The sequence below is a fragment of the Homo sapiens genome, chromosome 20, assembly GCF_000001405.40.
Source record: "Homo sapiens chromosome 20, GRCh38.p14 Primary Assembly".
Lineage (NCBI taxonomy): Eukaryota > Metazoa > Chordata > Mammalia > Primates > Hominidae > Homo > Homo sapiens.
The window spans coordinates 49,791,528-49,809,516 of NC_000020.11; the positions used below are offsets into that span (position 1 = coordinate 49,791,528).

Below are 17,989 nucleotides of genomic sequence, written 5' to 3' on the forward strand. Positions count from 1 at the left end.
GTCAGGGCTGGGCACAGTGGCTCATGCCTGTAATCTTAGCACTTTGGGAGACCAATGTGGGAGGCTCCCTTGAGGCCAGGAGTTTGAGACCAGCCTAGGTAACAGTGGGAGACCACTCCATCTCTACCAAAAAAAAAAAAATTAAGTGGTGGTGTGTGCCTGTAGTCCCAGGCTGAGGAGGGAGGAATGCTTAAGCCCAGGAGTTCGAGGCTACAGTGAGCTACGATCGCACCACTGTACTCCCGCCTGAGCGACAGAGCAAGACCCTGCTCTAAAAAAGAAAAATTAAAATAAAAAAATTTTAATGATAAAATCAGAAGAGTCCCCTGCTTTCCAGGAGCTCACCATTGACAGGAGGATATCAACACCAAGCAATTCCAGGAGGGAGAGCATTCCAAAAGGGAAATTATAGACAGTTACACACACATAGACCAAGAAAACTCAACCTATTCTAACAGGACCTCCTGAAACAGGTGCCGTTGTACATGATGTGTGAAGGTGTTTAGAGGCTAACCAGGCAAAAGAAGGGCAAGAGGGAATAGCACTTCAGGCAAGGGAAAATCTCATATGCAAAGGTCCAGTGGCAGGGAAGGTGAGGGGTGCAGGAGGAAGTGAGAGAAGCCCACTTCTCTCTGACTGGAGAACAGAGAACAAGGGGAACAGAGGGAAGGAAGAGGGGCGGTAAGGGAATAGACCATGACCTTGTGGTCCATGATGTGGAATTCAAACTGTCTCCTAAGGCCAGTGGTGACCACTGAATGCTTATGAGTAAGGCAGTGACATAATAGCAACTGCTAATATTTATTTATTTATTATTTTGAGATGGAGTTTCACTCTTGCTACCCAGGCTGGAGTGCAATGGTGTGATCTTGGCTCACTACAACCTCTGCCTCCCAGTTCAAGCGATTCTCCTGCCTCAGCCTCCCAAGTAGCTAGGATTACAGGAGCCTGCCACCACGCCCAGCTAATTTTTTGTATTTTTAGTAGAGATGGGGTTTCGCCATGTTGGCCAATCTGGCCTTGAACTCCTGACCTCAGGTAATCCCCCCACCGTGGCCTCCCAAAGTGCTGGGATTACAGGTGTGAGCCACCGTGCCCTGCCTGCTGATATTTATTGACCACTTATTCAGTGCCAGACTTTTTTCTAAGCTGCTAACATGTATCATTTAGTATGTATTTGCAACAACCCTGTAATTAAGGTTCTCCAGACCACGAGCAAATTACTCAGCCATTCTGTGCCTCAGTTTCCTCATATGCACAATGGGAGTAATCATAGAACCTACCACAAAGAGTTAGTATGAGGGTTACAATGAGTGCTTGGCACATGGGAAATGCTGTGTATGTATTAGCTTTTGCTACTATTATTCCCATTTTATAGATGAAAAAGCTGAAGCCCAGAGAGATGAATCAGTTTGTCTGAGGTCACACAGCTAATGCTAATAAGGCATAGAATGAACAGGACAGGTGTGGCGAAGGTAGAAGTGCTGGTGGGCGTGGAGAAGCCACATCTTCATCCTAGGAGTGATGGAAGTGTGGACCACCCATTGGGACCCATGTGGCCAGCCTCTGTTCTGACTGGTCAGTGCCTAGGTCATGCCGGTTCTTAAATATTTCATTATCACCCTGTTATTACTACATATATGACATTGTTTTGTGGATTTAATATTTACACAAACGGTATCATACTAAATGTTAACTTCTGCAAGTCCCTTTTCTCACTCAACATTACTGTATGTTTAAGATCTGTTTAGATCTAGTTCATTCATTTTATTTTCTTTTTTAGAGATGGGGTGTCACTATGTTGGCCAGTCTGGTCTTGAAATCCTGGGCTTAAGTGATCCTCCCACCTTGGCTTCCCAAAATGTTGGGATGACAGGCGTGAGACACCGTGCCCAGCCATTCATTCATTGTTTTTTTTTTTTTTTTTTTTTTTTTGAGACAGAGTCTCGCTCTGTCACCCAGGCTGGAGTGCAGTGGCTCACTGCAACCTCTGCCTCCTGGGTTCAAGCGATTCTGCCTCAGCCTTCTGAGTAGCTGGGACTACAGGCACATGGCACCACACCTGGCTAATTTTGTATTTTTAATAGAGACGGGGTTTTGCCACGTTGGCCAGGCTAGTCTCAAACTCCTGACCTCTCAGGTGATCCACCTGCCTTGGCCTCCCAAAGTGTTGGGATTACAGGCGCGAGCCACACCATTCATTGATTTTAATTGCTCACTAGTATTCCTTTACAGGAACATGTCATGGTCTCCTTGCCCACTATCCCATGGATGCCTATTTAGTCCACTGCACTTTGGACCCATTGTAGGCAAAGCTGCCACACCCAACTTTGCATATGTTGAAGCTTCTCTAGGGTGAATACCAGGAAGTGGGATCACTGGTCTCAGAGTTCATACGTTTCAACTGCCAAGCAGCAGTACATGAAGAGTTCTTGTTTCTGCACTTCCTTACCGATGAAAATAATACCACTACCCCACATGACACTTACTATGTGCCAGGCATCTTTCTAAACATCTAACATGAAATAACTCATTTAACCTCTCAAAAAACTTTGAGGTGAGGTACTATCATCATCTCCACTAGATAGATGGAGAATGAAGACACAGAGAGGGCAAATAACTAGCCCAAGGTCACTCAGCTAGGAATAGTAGAGCATGGCATGAACCCAGAGAGGCTGGTTCCAGAGCCTGGGCTGTTCATCACTCCTGTAGGCCTTGGAATTTTCTGGTTTTCAAGTTGCTGCCAGTTTATGACTGTGAAATGTCTCTAAGTGCTTTAAGTTGCATTGCCTGCTTAGAAGGGACCTTGAGGACCTTTCCATCCATTTTTTGGCCAATCAAGCATCCTCTTCAGAAAAATGCCTCTTTCTAGCCTTGGCTGTCCCTGAGTTTCTGATCTTTTCTGCAAGTATGCCTGGAGGCCAGGACTTGGGGCGGGGCCTGGCACAGTGAGCGCACTTGGTAAAAATGTACCAGACTCACCAGGCATGGTGGCTCATGCCTGTAATCTCAGCATTTTGGAAGGCTGAAGCAGGCAGACTGCTTGAGCCCAGGAGTTCAAAACCAGACTGGTCAGTGTAGTGAGACCCTATCTCTACAAAATAAAAATTAAAAATTAGCTGGGCGTGGTGGCACATGCTTGTAGTCCCAGCTACTCAAGAGGCCTCTGAGATGGGAGGATGGCTTCAGCCCAAGAGGTCGAGGCTGCTGTGAGCTACGATTGCACCACAGCACTCCAGCCTGAGTGACAGGGCAAGACCTTGTCTTTGGGAAAAAAAAAAAAGTGTTCACTTTGGCAGCGCATATACTAAAATTGGAACAATACAGAGATTAGCATGGCCCCTGTGCAAGAATGACATAAAAAATTGTGAGGTGTTCGATATACAAAAGAAAAAAGAAAAAAAAGTGCCAGACTGACTGGTGGTGTCTTTCACGTCTCTCACCCTCTCTTCCTCCTGGGAGGCCAATGCTGATGAATAAAGCTTCTGCTTAAGTCACTGGCCCACGTCTGTGCTGTGCTGGGCACGCACAGTGGCCCTCTTGCCTCAAGCTCATTTCCTCTTCTGTTATCTGACCCTAATCTAGTTCATGATCTGATCTCATCTCCTTCGACTCTCCTTGTCTCTTGTTTCTCATGAACCCCACTGGCTGTCCTCCTGTCTCTTCAGTGGCCAAGTTCATTTCTACCTCAGGACTTTTGCATGTGCTGCTTCCTCTGCCTGGAACACTCTTCCCGTAGTGGCTCCAACTCATCCTTCAGGCCTCAACTCAAATGCCACCTCCTCAGAGAGACTTTCCTGATCACTCTGTTTAGAAGAAACAGAGGCATGAAGAGATTGAGCATAATTGTCAAAAATTGTACAGCTGGCTTATTGATGAGATTTTTGAATTATGTTATCTTATTATGTGCCTATATTTCTAAATTTTTTCTACAGTGGTGATGTGTTCCCTGTGTGAATTTTTTAAACCTCAAATTCAGGCTGGACATTGAGGCTCATGACTATAATCCCAGCACTTAGGGAGGCTGAGGCGATAGGATCGCTTGAGCTCAGGAGTTCAAGACCAGCCTGGGCAACATAGTGAGACCCCATCTCTACAAACAATTTTAAAATTAGCCAGGAATGGTGGCATGCACCTGTAGTCCCAGGTACTGGGGAAGAAGAGGTGGGAGGATGTCTTGAGGCTAAGAGTTGGAGGCTGGAGTGAGCTATGATCACACCACTGCACTCCGGCCAGGATAACAGAGCAAGACTGACTCTTAAAAAAAAAAAAAACAGGCCGGGCGTGGTGGCTCACGCCTGTAATCCCAGCACTTTGGGAGGCTGAGGTGGGCAGATCACGAGGTCAGGAGATCGAGACCAACTTGGCTAACACGGTGAAACCCCGTCTCTACTAAAAATATTTAAAAATTAGCCAGGTGTGGTGGCGGGCACCTGTAGTCCCAGCTGCTCAGGAGGCTGAGGCAGGAGAATGGTGTGAACCCAGGAGGTCGAGCTTGCAGTGAGCTGAGATCGCGCCACTGCACTCCACCCTGGGCAACAGAGCGAGATTCCATCTCAAAACAAAAACAAAACAAAACAAACAAAAAAAGCAAAAAAGAAAGACCTCAATTGTTGTTGTTGTTGTTGTTGTTGTTGTTGTTGTTTTGAGATGGAGTCTTGCTCTGTTGCCTAGGCTGGAGTGCAGTGGCACGATCTTGGTTTACTGCAACCTCCGCCTCCCAGGTTCAAGCAATTCTCCTGCCTCCGCCTCGAGAGTAGCTGGGATTACAGGTGCCCGCCACCATGCCTGGCTAATTTTTGTGTTTTTAGTAGAAACAGGGTTTCTCCCTGTTGGCCAGGCTGGTCTCCAACTCCTGACCTCGGGTGATCTGCCCACCTTGGCCTCGCAAAATTCTGGGATTACAGGTGTGAGCCACCACACCCAGCCAAGACCTCAAATTTAAAATGAATTAAGAGCCAATCCTGAGAGAATACGAATGAGTGTCTGGGGCTCTGTTTTTCAAGCCTCCTGGGTCAGAATAAGATCATAGCATTCTTCATCCTCCATGATTTCCTTACTGCCCACTTTCCCACGCCTTTCCATCTGACGATCGTCCCTCTTGGCTCTGAATCAGAAGGCTAAAAGCAAAGTGTAGGTCCACAATCCTCTCTGATAATCAGCCTCCCCTTCCCTACAGATGTTTCTCATTGCAAAATGGGAATAATGCCAGGTGCGGTAGCTCACACCTGTAATCCCAACAGTTTGGGAGGCCGAGGAGGGAGGATCACTTGAGGTCAGGACTTCAAGACCAGCCTGGCCAACATGGTGGAGCCCCATCTCTACTAAAAATACAAAAATTAGTTAGGTGTGGTGGCATGCACCTATAATCCCAGCTACTTGGGAGGCTGAGACAGGAGAATCACTTGAATCTGGGAGGTGGAGGTTGCAGTGAGCTGAGATTGTGCTACTGCACTCCAGCCTGGGTGACAGAGAGAGACTCCATCTCAGAAACAAAAGGGATAATAAAAGACCTACTTCACAGGGATTCAGCATGATGGGGCTGAAAGACATTTGGCGGAAGGAAGACTATTGCTGTGTGGGAACCGTACTGTGTGGTGAGTTTGGAGTCAGATAAACTCTGGATCAAAGGCCAGCTCACTGTGTGATCTCAGGCAACTCAATCTCTGAGCCTCACTCTCTCTGTAAAATAAGGACAATAAAAATACCTACTGAGTTCTTTAGAATGCCCTTCACTAGAAAGAAGTGGGTAACAAAACTCAAGCGTGCTTTACTGGAACAGGCTCCCCTGGCTCCCCACACAGGACATTTCTAGGACGGGGGAGCAGGAGATCCAGCAGCCTAGTGATCTCATCCTGGAGCCAGGCTTTTTCCATGTCTCCGTCCACAGTGTTGGTTTCATCCTCAGGCTGGTCCTCCTCGTGATCGCAGGATGACTGCCAGGAGCTATCAGGGCCACGGGCATCCTCTTTCATGTCTGGTAGGAAAATAGATTCACTTCCAGGCCATCTTCCTGGAAGAGTGAGGAAGAACTTTCCCAGAAGCGTCTGGCAAACTTCTCTCCACTTCTCATTAGCCTGAGGTAGGTCAGAGGCCCATTCCGGAACCAAACTCTGGCAAAAAGATGCAAGTCTCATGATTGGCTTAGACTCATTGGTTCCAGTGCCTGTGGCTGGGCTGGGATGGATGTCGAGGAGTCAGTCAACAACATTGTCCTCTCTACCTGCCTCGAACAGTTACTGGGAGAAGAAAATGAGATCATGCTTGCAAAGCTTAGCATACAGTAGGTGCTCAACTAATAATAGCTCTTATTACTATTACAGGCTGAGTATCCCTCATCCGAAATGCTTGGGACCAGAAGTGTGTCAGAATTCAGATTGTTTTGGATTTTGGAATATTTGCATTATATTTACCAGTTGAGCATTCCTAATCTGAAAATCTGAAACCCAAAATGCTCCAGTGAGCATTTCTGTTGAGCATTACGTCAGTGCTCAAAAAGTTTGGGATTTTGGCGCATTTCAGATTTCAGATTTTCAGATTAGGGATACTCAACTGTATTATTATTATTTTCTTTTTTGAGACAGGGTCTTGCTCTGTCTCCCAGGCTGAGTACAGCAGTGCGATCTTGGTTCACTACAGCCTCAACTTCCCAGGCTGAAGTGATCCTCCTGCCTCAGCCTCCCGAGTAGCTACCTGGGACCGCAGGTGCCACCACACCAGGCTAATTTTGTTTAGTTTTTGTAGAGAGGAAGTCTCACTATGTTTGCCAGGCTGGTCTTGAACTCCTGGACTGAAGCGATCCTCCTGCCTGGGCCTCCCAAAGTGCTGGGATTACAGACATGAGCCACCGCACCCAGCCTTCAACAGTATTCTGATTATTATCAACATCACCATCATCCTTTGGGGGCTTTGATGTCAGGCAGGCTCTGATCAAATCCCAGTTTCTCCACTTCTTAGCTGTGTGGCCTCATGCAAGTTGCTGAGCTTCAGTTCCACCCTGCAAAATGGGAATGATAAGTGCTCCTATCTCTTGTCATTACTGTATGAAAATAGTTAATGCTCCGTATGTGCCGATAATGCAGTCCTTTGGCCTTCCCATTAGGAATTTGGGTGGCCTTTTCCTGCCCTCAGTAGATGTGATTCAGGTGAGGGAGACTCTCCCTTCTATTCCAGAAGTGGGCACATTCTCCTCACTTGAATTTCTGAATCCCTCAGGTCGATATGATTGGTTCAGGGAGCCAGAGAAAGAGAGTCTGTCTATCCTCTAGAATTGCTGGCTGGAAAAGTGGAAGCTAGGAGCTGCGGGAAACCATCTTGGGGAGAGCTGGCTTGAAGTGGAGCCAACAAGAGAGGAAGCAGAGATGAGAGATGGAGAGAGGCAGAGGACTGTTGACTCTGTTGAGCTCCTGGATCCAGCCATGCCTGAATCGGATTTACCACTGGACTTTTCATTATGTGAGCCAATAAATTCCCTTTTTTTTTTTGTAGAAGAAGCCAGTTTGAGGCGGGGGTTCTGTCACTTGCAGTGATGTGTGTGGAGTCTAGTCCAGACCAGGCAGGATGGGGAATTAGAAAAGGAGATAGTCCTCTGAGGGCAGAATTATGCCTACCTAAATCAGCTTGGTATTCCAAGAGTTTTGCCCAGGCCAATGCATAGAATGGAACTCCAGAAGTATTAGGAGTTAAAAGCATAAATAGGCTGGGCCTATTTGTGCCCTATAATCCCAGTACTTTGGGAGGCCTAGGTGGGAGGTTCGCTTGAGTCCAGGAGTTCAAGAGCAACGACAACAGCCTGAACAACACAGTGAGACCCCATCTCTGCAAAAACAAAAATAAAAAATTAGCTGCGAATGGTGGTGTGCACCTGTAGTCCCAGCTACTGGGGAGGCTGAGGTAGGAGGATCGCTTGAGCCCAGGAGTTTGAGGTTGCAGTGAGCCACTGCACTCTAGTCGGGGTGACCGGGCAAAACCTCATCTCTAAAAGTAAAAAAAATAAAAATAAGAACACAAATAGAGTCTAGTGAGTATCCCTCCAGACTTCTTCTCTGTGCTTATAATAAATAGTCATATACAAACACAGAAGAATATTTTTACAAAAATGGAAGCACACTCTACATTTTCAGTTCAAACACTCCCTCCCCAGTGACCACCCCATCTGAAGTGGCTCCGTCTCCATCATGCTTTCTTGCATGCTAGCGTTTTTCACTCCCTAAATTAACTTATTCAGAGCAGACATTTTTCTCTGTTTGCCACTGCTGTGTCATCAGTACCTTTCACAACTGGCCAAGTATCCAACACACATTTGTTGAGTAAGTATCACTCTGTAGTTTGTGTGTTTCTTTTAACTTGTAGCGAAGTAGACATGGATCTGCTTTGACCTTTGAGACGAATGCATGGAGATCTATTGATCGGATGGGCCACGTTTGTTTCCCACACTTCGTTGAAAAATTGGGGGTGAAAAAAACTGGGAGTGAAAAAATGGCCAAACCAAAAGAAGGGTGAGTCATTCCCTCCTACCCCAAAATACAGAGGAGAGGGTGAAGAAGGAGGACCGCCCCTCCTCGCTCCAGTAAAGCCTTTAACAGGCCCATCCTGATTTACAGGGAGCGGACTTGGTTTCCTGTTCAAGAATTTCCAAGGCAAAAACAATCCTCAAACACATGAAGATGAGGTTGGGCAAATAACTCATGGATGGTCTCAACGCTGGAGGGCAAAGTTGTTTATTAAGCTCCCGACCCTCAAAGGGAATTACTTAAATTTTTTTCTTGATTATAAAAGTAGTATTCCAGCCTGGGCAACAAGAGCGAGACTCCATCTCAAAAAAAAAAAAAAAAAAAAAAAGTATTGGCTCATCACTATGAAAAAGCATTTTCAGAGAATACAGAAAAGTGTGAGGAATAGAATAAAAAACAGTCATAATTTTGGAGCATTTTGTAAGTTAGCCCATAGATTTTTTAAATGCATACACATGTACTTAATTCTAAAGTGAACCTGTGCTATCTTTTTATTTAACAGTAATCCTAAGATTTATTGAGTATGTACAATGCATATGCTAGTTGCTCTCTGTGTATTAATCCATTTTATATTTACAGTAGTCCTGTGTGATAAGCACTATTATTAATTCAATTTTATAGATGGGGAAACTGAGGCAGAGAGCAGTTAAGTGATTTACCCAAGATCACACAAGGTGGCCAAGCTGGAATTCAGAAACAAGTAATCTGGCTTCAAGGCCCATGACGTTAACCACTATACTACATTGCTAAGGCAGAGCAGAGACCCCTCCCAAGTTAATACCCATAGATATGAGTCATCCTTTTTAGTGCCTGCACTTATTCTTCTATTACTAGATAATTGGGCTTTTTCTAGTTTCCCCCTACTAGGAAATAGAGAGAAACTTCCCTTTTGGGCTTTAAATTAGACAAGAAAATATGCGGTTAGATGTCACCACAACTTGTACTTCTTTTTTTTTTTTTTTTTTTTGAGACAGGGCTCGCTCTGTCACCCAGGCTGGAGTGCAGTGGTGCGATCACAGCTCACTGCAGCTTTGACCTCCCAGGCTCAATCTATTCTCCCGCCTCAATCTATTCTCCCACTTCAGCCTTCTGAGTAGTTGGGACTACAAGTGCACACCACCGTGCCTGACTATTTATTTCTCTTTTCTGTAGACATGGGGTCTCACTGTGTTGCCCAGGCTAACAACTGGTATTTCTAACCCAGGAGAAGCAACGAAGGGCTCAGCCCTACTTTGAAGCAATCGCCCCATTATGCACATATATATTGACTGGGGGAGGTTATTTTATTTAAGAAACATCCATGAAGTACTTATGTGCCAGACAGACATGGCTTCAAGAACTTCTGAATAGGCTGGGCACGGTGGCTCACGCCTGTAATCCCAACACTTTGGGAGGCCGAGGCGGGCGGATCACGAGGTCAGGAATTCGAGACCAGCCTGGCCAACATGGTGAAACCCCGTCTCTACTAAAAATACAAAAACTTAGCTGGGCGTGGTGGTGGGCGCCTGTAATTCCAGCTACTTGGGAGGCTGAGGCAGGAGAATTGCTTGAACCCAGGAGGCAGAGGTTGCAGTGCAGTGATCCGAGGTCACGCCATTGCACTCCAGCCTGGGCAACAAGAGTGAAACTCTGTCTTAAAAAAAGAAAAAAAGAAAAAAGAACTTCTGAATATTAGCTCACTTCACCCAAAAATAATACTCTGAAATACATACCAGGGAAACTGAGGCACAAGGGGGTTAACTTGCCCAACATGACAGAGGCAGTAAGTGGCAGTGCTGAGATCTGAACCCCGGAAGCTTGGCTCCAGTGTCTGGGTTCTTAACTCCCAATCAGCCTCTCTGTCTACCCCTTGGCCCAAGAGAGCTGGCCCGCCCTGGGGTACTCAAAGCAAACCCACTTTCAGCTGAGGACTGACGGCAGCAAGGTGAATATATCTATTTTTCCTTTTAAGTGATACTCATGTATTAGCTCACAGTTCTGTAGGTCCTAAGCTCATGCAGGCTCTGCTGTGTTATACGTTCAGGGCATCACATGGCTGAAGCAGAGATGTCAGCTCACTGGAGTCCTCATCTGGAGGCTATGGGAGGAATTGGACTCTTTTCAGATTGTTGGCAGAATTCAGTTCCTTGCAGCTGTAGAACTGAAGCCCCCATTTCCTTACTTGCGATTCTCTCTGCAACTAGAAGCTTCCTGCATTCCTTGTCCTGTGGCCCCTTCTTTTTTTTGAGACAGAGTCTCGCTCTGTTGCCCAGGCTGGAGTGCAGTGGCGTGATCTCGGCTCACTGCAAGCTCCGCCTCCCGGGTTCATGCCATTCTCCTGCCTCAGCCTCCCGAGTAGCTGGGACTACAGGCGCCCGCCACCATGCCCAGCTAATTTTTTTTTTTTTGTAGTAGAGACGGGGTTTCACCATGTTAGCCAGAATGGTCTTGATCTCCTGACCGCGTGAGCCACCCATCTCGGCCTCCCAAAGTGCTGGGATTACAGGCATGAGCCACCGCGCCCAGCCTATATCTTTTTATTTATGGCAAATATTTTAACTGTCCCACAGATTTGTCTTGAATAAGAAGCAAAGAGACGGGAAAACCCCTTAGAAACAGGTGTGTAATGGGACTTTTCTTTTGTTTCAGTTTTGGTTAAGGGCTTCGTGCTGAGGTACTGTGGCTCTCTCTAGAGACAGCTGAATGTCTGCTGAGTTAGAAAAGGGGAGACTTCCCCAAACCGTCTATGAACCCTTAGCCCATCACCTGTGTTGAGGGTGTACCGGGAAGACTTGAGGATTACTGAGGGGAAAATAGAGGTTATGGAGAAAGTTTCCCCTTCATTGAAAATGCCTGGGCAGGGTGCGGTGGCTCACGCCTGTAATCCCAGAACTTTGGGAGACCGAGGCGGGTGGATCACCTGAGATTAGGAGTTCGTGACCAGCCTGGCCAACGTGGTGAAACCCCATCTCTACTAAAAATACAAAAAATTAGCTGGGCGTGGTGGTAGGCGCATGTAATGCCAGCCACTTGGGAGGCTGAGGCAAGGAGAACCCAGGAGGCAGAGATTGCGGTGAGCCAAGATCGCGCCATTGCACTCCAGCCTGGGCAACAAGAGTGAAACTCCATCTCAAAAAAAAAAAAAAGTTTGCAAAAATAAAAAAATAAAAAATAAATAAAGGGCCGGGGACAGTGGCTCACTCCTATAATCTCAGCACTTTGGGAGACACGGGCTGGCAGATCCCGTGAGCCAAAGAGTTCAAGACCAGCCTGAACAACATGGCGAAAACCCGCCTCTACAAAAAAATACAAAAATTAGCCAGGCACAGTGGTTGTGCCTGTAGTCTCAGCTACTTGGGAGGCTGAGGTGGAGGATCACCTGAGCCCAGGAGGTTGAGGCCAAAGTGAGCAGTGATTGTGCCACTGTATGCCAGCCTGGGTAACAGAGTGAGACCCTGTCTCAAAAATAAAATAAAATAAATAAAAATTAGAAGAAGAAATAATTGAAAATTCTGAAAAACATAAAATAAAAAAGGCAGTTTCCTTGGAGTTTTCTGTGCTACTGTGGACATAGCACATAGTAGGTGCTTAATCCATACTTAATGATTTATGTCAGGTGCTAGTCTAGGTACTAGACCCCCTGTGAGCCTAATGGGGATGACAGGTCACAAGGAAGTAAATTTGAAAAAGAAACAACATTGTGCTAAGTGAAAGAAGCCAGTCATAAAATGCCACAGATTTTATTCCACTTACATGAAATGTTCAGAATCCGTAAATCCATAGAGACAGAAAATAAAGTAATGACTGCCAGGGGATGGGGCAGCAGGGAGTGACTGCTGATAGGTGCAGAGGTTCTTGTTGGGGTGCCAGAAATGTTTGGGAATCAGACAGTTGTGATGGTTGCATAACATAGTGAATACACTAAAACCCACTGAATTGCACATGTTAAAATGAAGTTTTTGTTATATGAGTTGTATTTCAATATTTATTTAATTTAATTTAATTAATTAATTTATTTTTTGAGACAGTCTTACTCTGTCACCCAGACTGGAATGCGGTGGTACGATCTCGGCTCATTGCAATCTCCACCTCCCAAGTTCAAGTGATTCTCGTGCTTCAGCCTCCCAAGCAGCTGGGATTACAGGTGTGCACCAATACGCCCGGCTAATTTTTGTATTTGTAGTAGAGATGGGGTTTTGCCATGTTGGCCAGGTTGGTCTCGAACTCCTGACCTCAAATGATCCGCCTGCTTTGGCCTCTCAAAGTGTTGGGATCACAGGCATGAGCCATGGTGCCTGGGCCATATTTCAATAATAATTTCAAATATGTTTTTTTAAAAAGGACAAAACAGAGTAACTTCACATAATAGGTACCACGAGGACAAGAGAGTGAAATGCTGGAAGATGCAGTGGCTGGCTGGGGCAGGTGGGAGACGGCCTCAGTCAGGGTGCTTCCATTGTATGGGATCTGAATTATGACTAGGAGGCAGCTCTATGTATATCTAGAAGGTGATAGACAAAGGAACAGCAAGTGCAAAGGTCCTGAGCTGGGGAGGAGCATGGCATGTTCAAGGAGCAGATAAGTGAGTTGGGATGCAGGGGAAAAGGGACAAGAGACCCCTTCAGGGAAAGGGAGCTGACCAAACAGGGCCTTGCAGACTGCCAAGAGGAGTTTGGGTTTTGTTTGCAGTAAAATGGGGAGCCGTGGGATGATTTTGAGCAGAAGAGTAACATGATCTGATACATACTTCAAAAAGACTGCTTGGGCCAGGCACCATGGCTCATGTCTATAATCCCAGCACTTTGGGAGGCTGAGGTGGGAGAATCACTTGATTGAGCCCAGGAGTTCAAGATCAGCCTAGGCAACATAGCAAGACCCCGTTTCTACAAAAAATAAAATAAAACAAAAAATTAGCCAGGAACGGTGGCACGTGCCTGTAATCCCAGTTACTTGGGAGGCTGAGGTAGGAGGATGGCTTGAGCCAGAGAGGTTGAGGCTCCAGGGAGCTGTGATCCCACAACTGCACTGTAGCCTGGGGACAGAATGAGACCCTGTCTCTCAAAAAAAAAAAAAAAAAAAAAAAAAAGACTGCTTGCACTGTCATTGTAAGGTAAATACAGCTACAGACATACAGATATTTTGGTCAAAGATAGACCACAAATACAATGGTGGTGTCATGAGGTTATAATATGGTACTTTTACTGTGCCTTTTTTGTGTTTAGATATGTTTAGACACACAAAAACTTGCCATTGTGTTACCATTGCCTGCAGTACCCAGTACAGTAACATGCCGTACGGGTGTGTAGCCTACGAGCAATAGGCCATACCATAAAAGCCTGGGTGTGTCATAGGCAACACCATCTGGGTTTGAAGAAGTCTGCTCTAGGATGTTCGCACATCAAGATCGCCTGACCACACGTTTCTCACAATGGATTCCTGTCCTTAGGTGATGCATGACTGTGGTAGGCAGGTAGGAGTAGAAGCAGAAAATGTAAGTAAATCCGTTTGACACTGTGCTTGTGACCTGCAACACTCAGTAACTGCCAGTCATCTTTCATAAACTAGAAACAAGCCAGCTTGTCATATTTATTTCAATACAGAAAGTCAAGGCCGTGGGTATTTTGATCTTTCTGTCTTGATGCTGCCTCACCTCCCTGTTCTGAGTCACCAGCCCTGTGGATTCTTCCTCCTCCACCCTCACCCGCTTTGTGTCCTCCACACTGTCCCCACCCTAAGACCTGATGACCGATAGAAACACTTGCATCCTTGGCTTACCTTTTTTCTTTCCCCCTTTAAAAAATATCATAGTTTTGGCTGGGTGCAGTGGCTCACGCCTGTCATTCCAGCACTCTGGGAGGCCGAGGCAGGAGGATCACTTGCACCCAGAAGTCTGAGGCCAGCCTGGGCAACATAGTGAGATCCTGTCTCTATTTTTATTTTGTATTTATTTATTTATTTATTTATTTTTGAGACGGAGTCTCACTGTATTGCCAGGCTGGAGTGCAGTGGCATGATCTCGGCTCATTGCAACCTCTGCCTCCCGGATTCAAACAATTCTCCTGCCTCAGCCTCCCGAGTAGCTGGGACTACAGGTGCACACCACCATGCCCGGCTAATTTTTGTATTTTTAGTGGAGACGGGGTTTCAACATGTTGGCCAGGATGGTCTCAATCTCTTGACCTCATGATGCACCTGCTGCAGCCTCCCAAAGTGCTGGGATTACAGGCGTGAGCCACCGCACCTCGCCTATTTTAATTTTTTAAAAAAAATCATATTTTAGTACCTGTAGTCCCAGCTACTTGGGAGGCTGAGGCAGGAGAATTGCTTGAATCTGGGAGGCAGAGGTTTCAGTGAGCCAAGATCACGCCACTGCACTCCAGCCTGGCAATAGAGCGAGACTCCATCTCAAAAATAAATAAATAAATACAAAATAAAAATAGAGACAGTGTGTCACTATGTTGCCCAGGCTGGCCTCAGACTCCTGGGTGCAAGTGATCCTCCTGCCTCGGCCTCCCAAAGTGCTGGAATGACAGGCGTGAGCCACTGCACCCAGCCAAAACTATGATATTTTTTAAAGGGGGAAAGAAAAAAGGTAAGCCAAGGATGCAAGTGTTTCTATCGGTCATCAGGTCTTAGGGTGGGGACAGTGTGGAGGACACAAAGCGGGTGAGGGTGGAGGAGGAAGAATCCATAGGGCTGGTGACTCAGAACAGGGAGGTGAGGCAGCATCAAGACAGAAAGATCAAAATACCCACGGCCTTGACTTTCTGTATTGAAATAAATATGACAAGCTGGTCTGTTTCTAGTTTATGAAAGATGACTGGCAGTCACTGAGTGTTGCAGGTCACAAGCACAGTGTCAAAGGGATTTACTTACATTTCAAATGACGTGTCATTTGCAGAAAAAAAATATTAAAAATACAAATAAGCAAAAGGAAAAACAATATCCATGACCCACAATTGAGAAATAACCATTATCGAAACAATATTTCAATATGTTACTCCTGTCCTTTTTTGTTTCTTGGTTTAAATTTTATTTGTATTGAGGTCATACATGCACATAAGTTGAAGAGTCAAATTTTCTAAAAATAGGAATCCCCACTTCACTCTCTCCTCTCATTTCTGCCTCCCCAAAGATAATCACTTTGAGCTGATTTTTTGGGTATTTAACTCCATGTCTTGGAATAACATGCTTCTATCGCCACTTCTTAGTTTTTCTGTTTTCAGTAAAATCTGCTTTCCCACTCTGGGCAATAAGGGTTCTGCCCTCTTTCCCTCTCCTCACCTGCCCAGCCCATGCAGAGACCCTTCCCATCCTTTATTCTCTCAATATAGTTATATGGTTATTCTTGTGAGATTGACATTTACAGTATACATTATTGTGACTATGTAAATGCCATTCACAGCTGAGCTCCGTGGTAAACTATGATGACCTTTACTTTTCTCCTTTTCTGCAACTTTTCATTTTTCTTTTCCTTTTTTTTTTCTTTTGAGATGGAGTCGCCCTCTGTCGCCCAGGCTGGAGTGCAGTGGTGCGATCTAGGCTCAAGGCAACCTCCACCTCCCAGGTTCAAGTGATTCTTCTGCCTCAGCCTCCCAAGTAGTTGAGATTACAGGTGTGTGCCACCACGCCCGGCCAAAACTATGATTTTTTTTTAAAGGGAGAAAGAAAAAAAGTAAGCCAAGGAAGCAAGTGTTTCTATCGGTCACCAAGTCTTAGGGTGGGGACAGTGGGGAGGACACAAGGCAGGTGAGGGTGAAGAAGGTTTTGAACTCCTGACCTCGGGTGATCTACCCACCTCGGCCTCCCAAAGTGCTGGGATTACAGCTGTGAGTCACCATGCATGGCCTGGAATCTGGATTTTTTTCACAAACTTTCTCAGAGAATTACACCTGACTCCACTGAATTCTACAAGCCCAGATTTTCTATTTTTGCTTAGTAATTCTAGTGCCTGTTACGTGCTAAGTGGCCAGGGCCAGATTAAAATGTTAGCATCCAAAGGTATTAAAGAAATTATGCCCCACTCGTTCCCATGTATAAATCAATATGAAATGATAATAAATAGCAAAAATACATGAAGAGGGCTGGGTGTGGTGGCTCACGCCTGTAGTCCCAGCACTACGGGAGGCCAAGGCGAGCAGATCACCTGAGGTCGGGAGTTCGAGACCAGCCTGACCAATGTGGAGAAACCCCATCTGTACTAAAAATACAAAATTAGCCGGGTGTGGTGGCACATGCCTGTAATCCCAGCTACTCGGGAGGCTGAGGCAGGAGAATCACTTGAACCCAGGAGGTGGAGGTTGCAGTGAGCCGAGATTGTGCCATTGCACTCCAGCCTGGGCAACAAGAGTGAAACTCCGTCTCAAAAAAAGAAAAAAAAAAATACATGAGGAGAAGTCCAACAGATCTTATTTTTCCTATGGCGTGGTGGGTAGGATAATGGCCCTCCAAAGATGGCCACGTGCTAATTGCTGGTCCCTGTGAATATGTTACAGGGCAAGGACGAATTAAGATTGCAGATGGAAATAGGGTGCTAATCAGCTGACTTTGAGACGGGCAGATTATTCTGATTATGTAGGTGGGTCCAATGTAGTCAGAAGGGTCCTAATAAGAGAAAGAGGGGCTGGGCACAGTGGCTCATGCCTGTAATCCAAGCACTTTGGGAGGCCAAGGTGGGTGGATCACCTGAGGTCAGGAGTTCAAGACCAGCCTGGCCAACATGGTGAAACCCCATCTCTACTAAAACTACAAAAATGAGCTGGTGTGGTGGCGGGCACCTGTAACCCCATCTACTTGGGAGGCTGAGATGGGAATCGCTTGAACCCCGGAGGCGGAGGTTGTAGTGAGCCGAGATCATGCCACTGCACTTGAGCATGGGCGACAGAGCAAGACTCAGTCTCAAAAAAAAAAAAAAGGGGGGGGTGGAGGGGAAGAGGAAGAGGAAGACAAGAGAGTCAGAATCAGAAGCAGAGCATGGGGTGAGGCAGTCCTTGGCTTTAAAAATAGCGAGTGGACCATGAGACATGGGATGCAAGCAGACTCTAGGAGCTGGAAAAGGCAAGAAAGTTTATTCTCCCGTAGGGCCTCCAGAATGAATGTGACCCTGCCAACACCTTGATTTTAGCCCAGTGAAAATCTTTATCTTCTAACCTACAGAACTATAAGATAATTCATTTGTGTTGTTTTAAGCCAATTCCTTGCCATAAAGCTCTTAAAATATATCCCCTTTTGGTTCTGCTTCTCTGATTGAATCCTGACTGATATACATGGTAACCAATTTGATTCCCTGTTTAATAAAAGCATTAAAGATCAAATTCTTAGCCAGGCACAGTGGCTCATGCCTGTTATCCCAGCACTTTGGGAGGCTGAGGCAGGTGGATCACTTGAGGTCAGGAGTTTGAGACCAGCCTGGCCAATATGGCGAAACCCCGTCTCTACTAAAAATACAAAAATTAGCTGGGCATGGTGGCACACGCCTGTAATTCCAGCTACTTGGG

General features: G+C 46.0%; 1 pseudogene, besides 4 other annotated features; it reads left to right on the plus strand.

Annotated features, from left to right (window-relative positions):
* RNU6-919P (RNA, U6 small nuclear 919, pseudogene) lies at positions 3,284-3,387 on the plus strand (annotated as a pseudogene).
* Positions 11,414-11,543: an enhancer, noted in NCBI's record as "active region_18070". NCBI's record gives its function as "activates an Ori minimal core promoter by ATAC-STARR-seq in GM12878 lymphoblastoid cells {active_cell/tissue: GM12878}" and the evidence as "EXISTENCE:reporter gene assay evidence [ECO:0000049][PMID:35858748]".
* Positions 13,582-13,641: an enhancer, noted in NCBI's record as "active region_18071". NCBI's record gives its function as "activates an Ori minimal core promoter by ATAC-STARR-seq in GM12878 lymphoblastoid cells {active_cell/tissue: GM12878}" and the evidence as "EXISTENCE:reporter gene assay evidence [ECO:0000049][PMID:35858748]".
* Positions 13,722-13,771: an enhancer, noted in NCBI's record as "active region_18072". NCBI's record gives its function as "activates an Ori minimal core promoter by ATAC-STARR-seq in GM12878 lymphoblastoid cells {active_cell/tissue: GM12878}" and the evidence as "EXISTENCE:reporter gene assay evidence [ECO:0000049][PMID:35858748]".
* Positions 13,872-13,961: an enhancer, noted in NCBI's record as "active region_18073". NCBI's record gives its function as "activates an Ori minimal core promoter by ATAC-STARR-seq in GM12878 lymphoblastoid cells {active_cell/tissue: GM12878}" and the evidence as "EXISTENCE:reporter gene assay evidence [ECO:0000049][PMID:35858748]".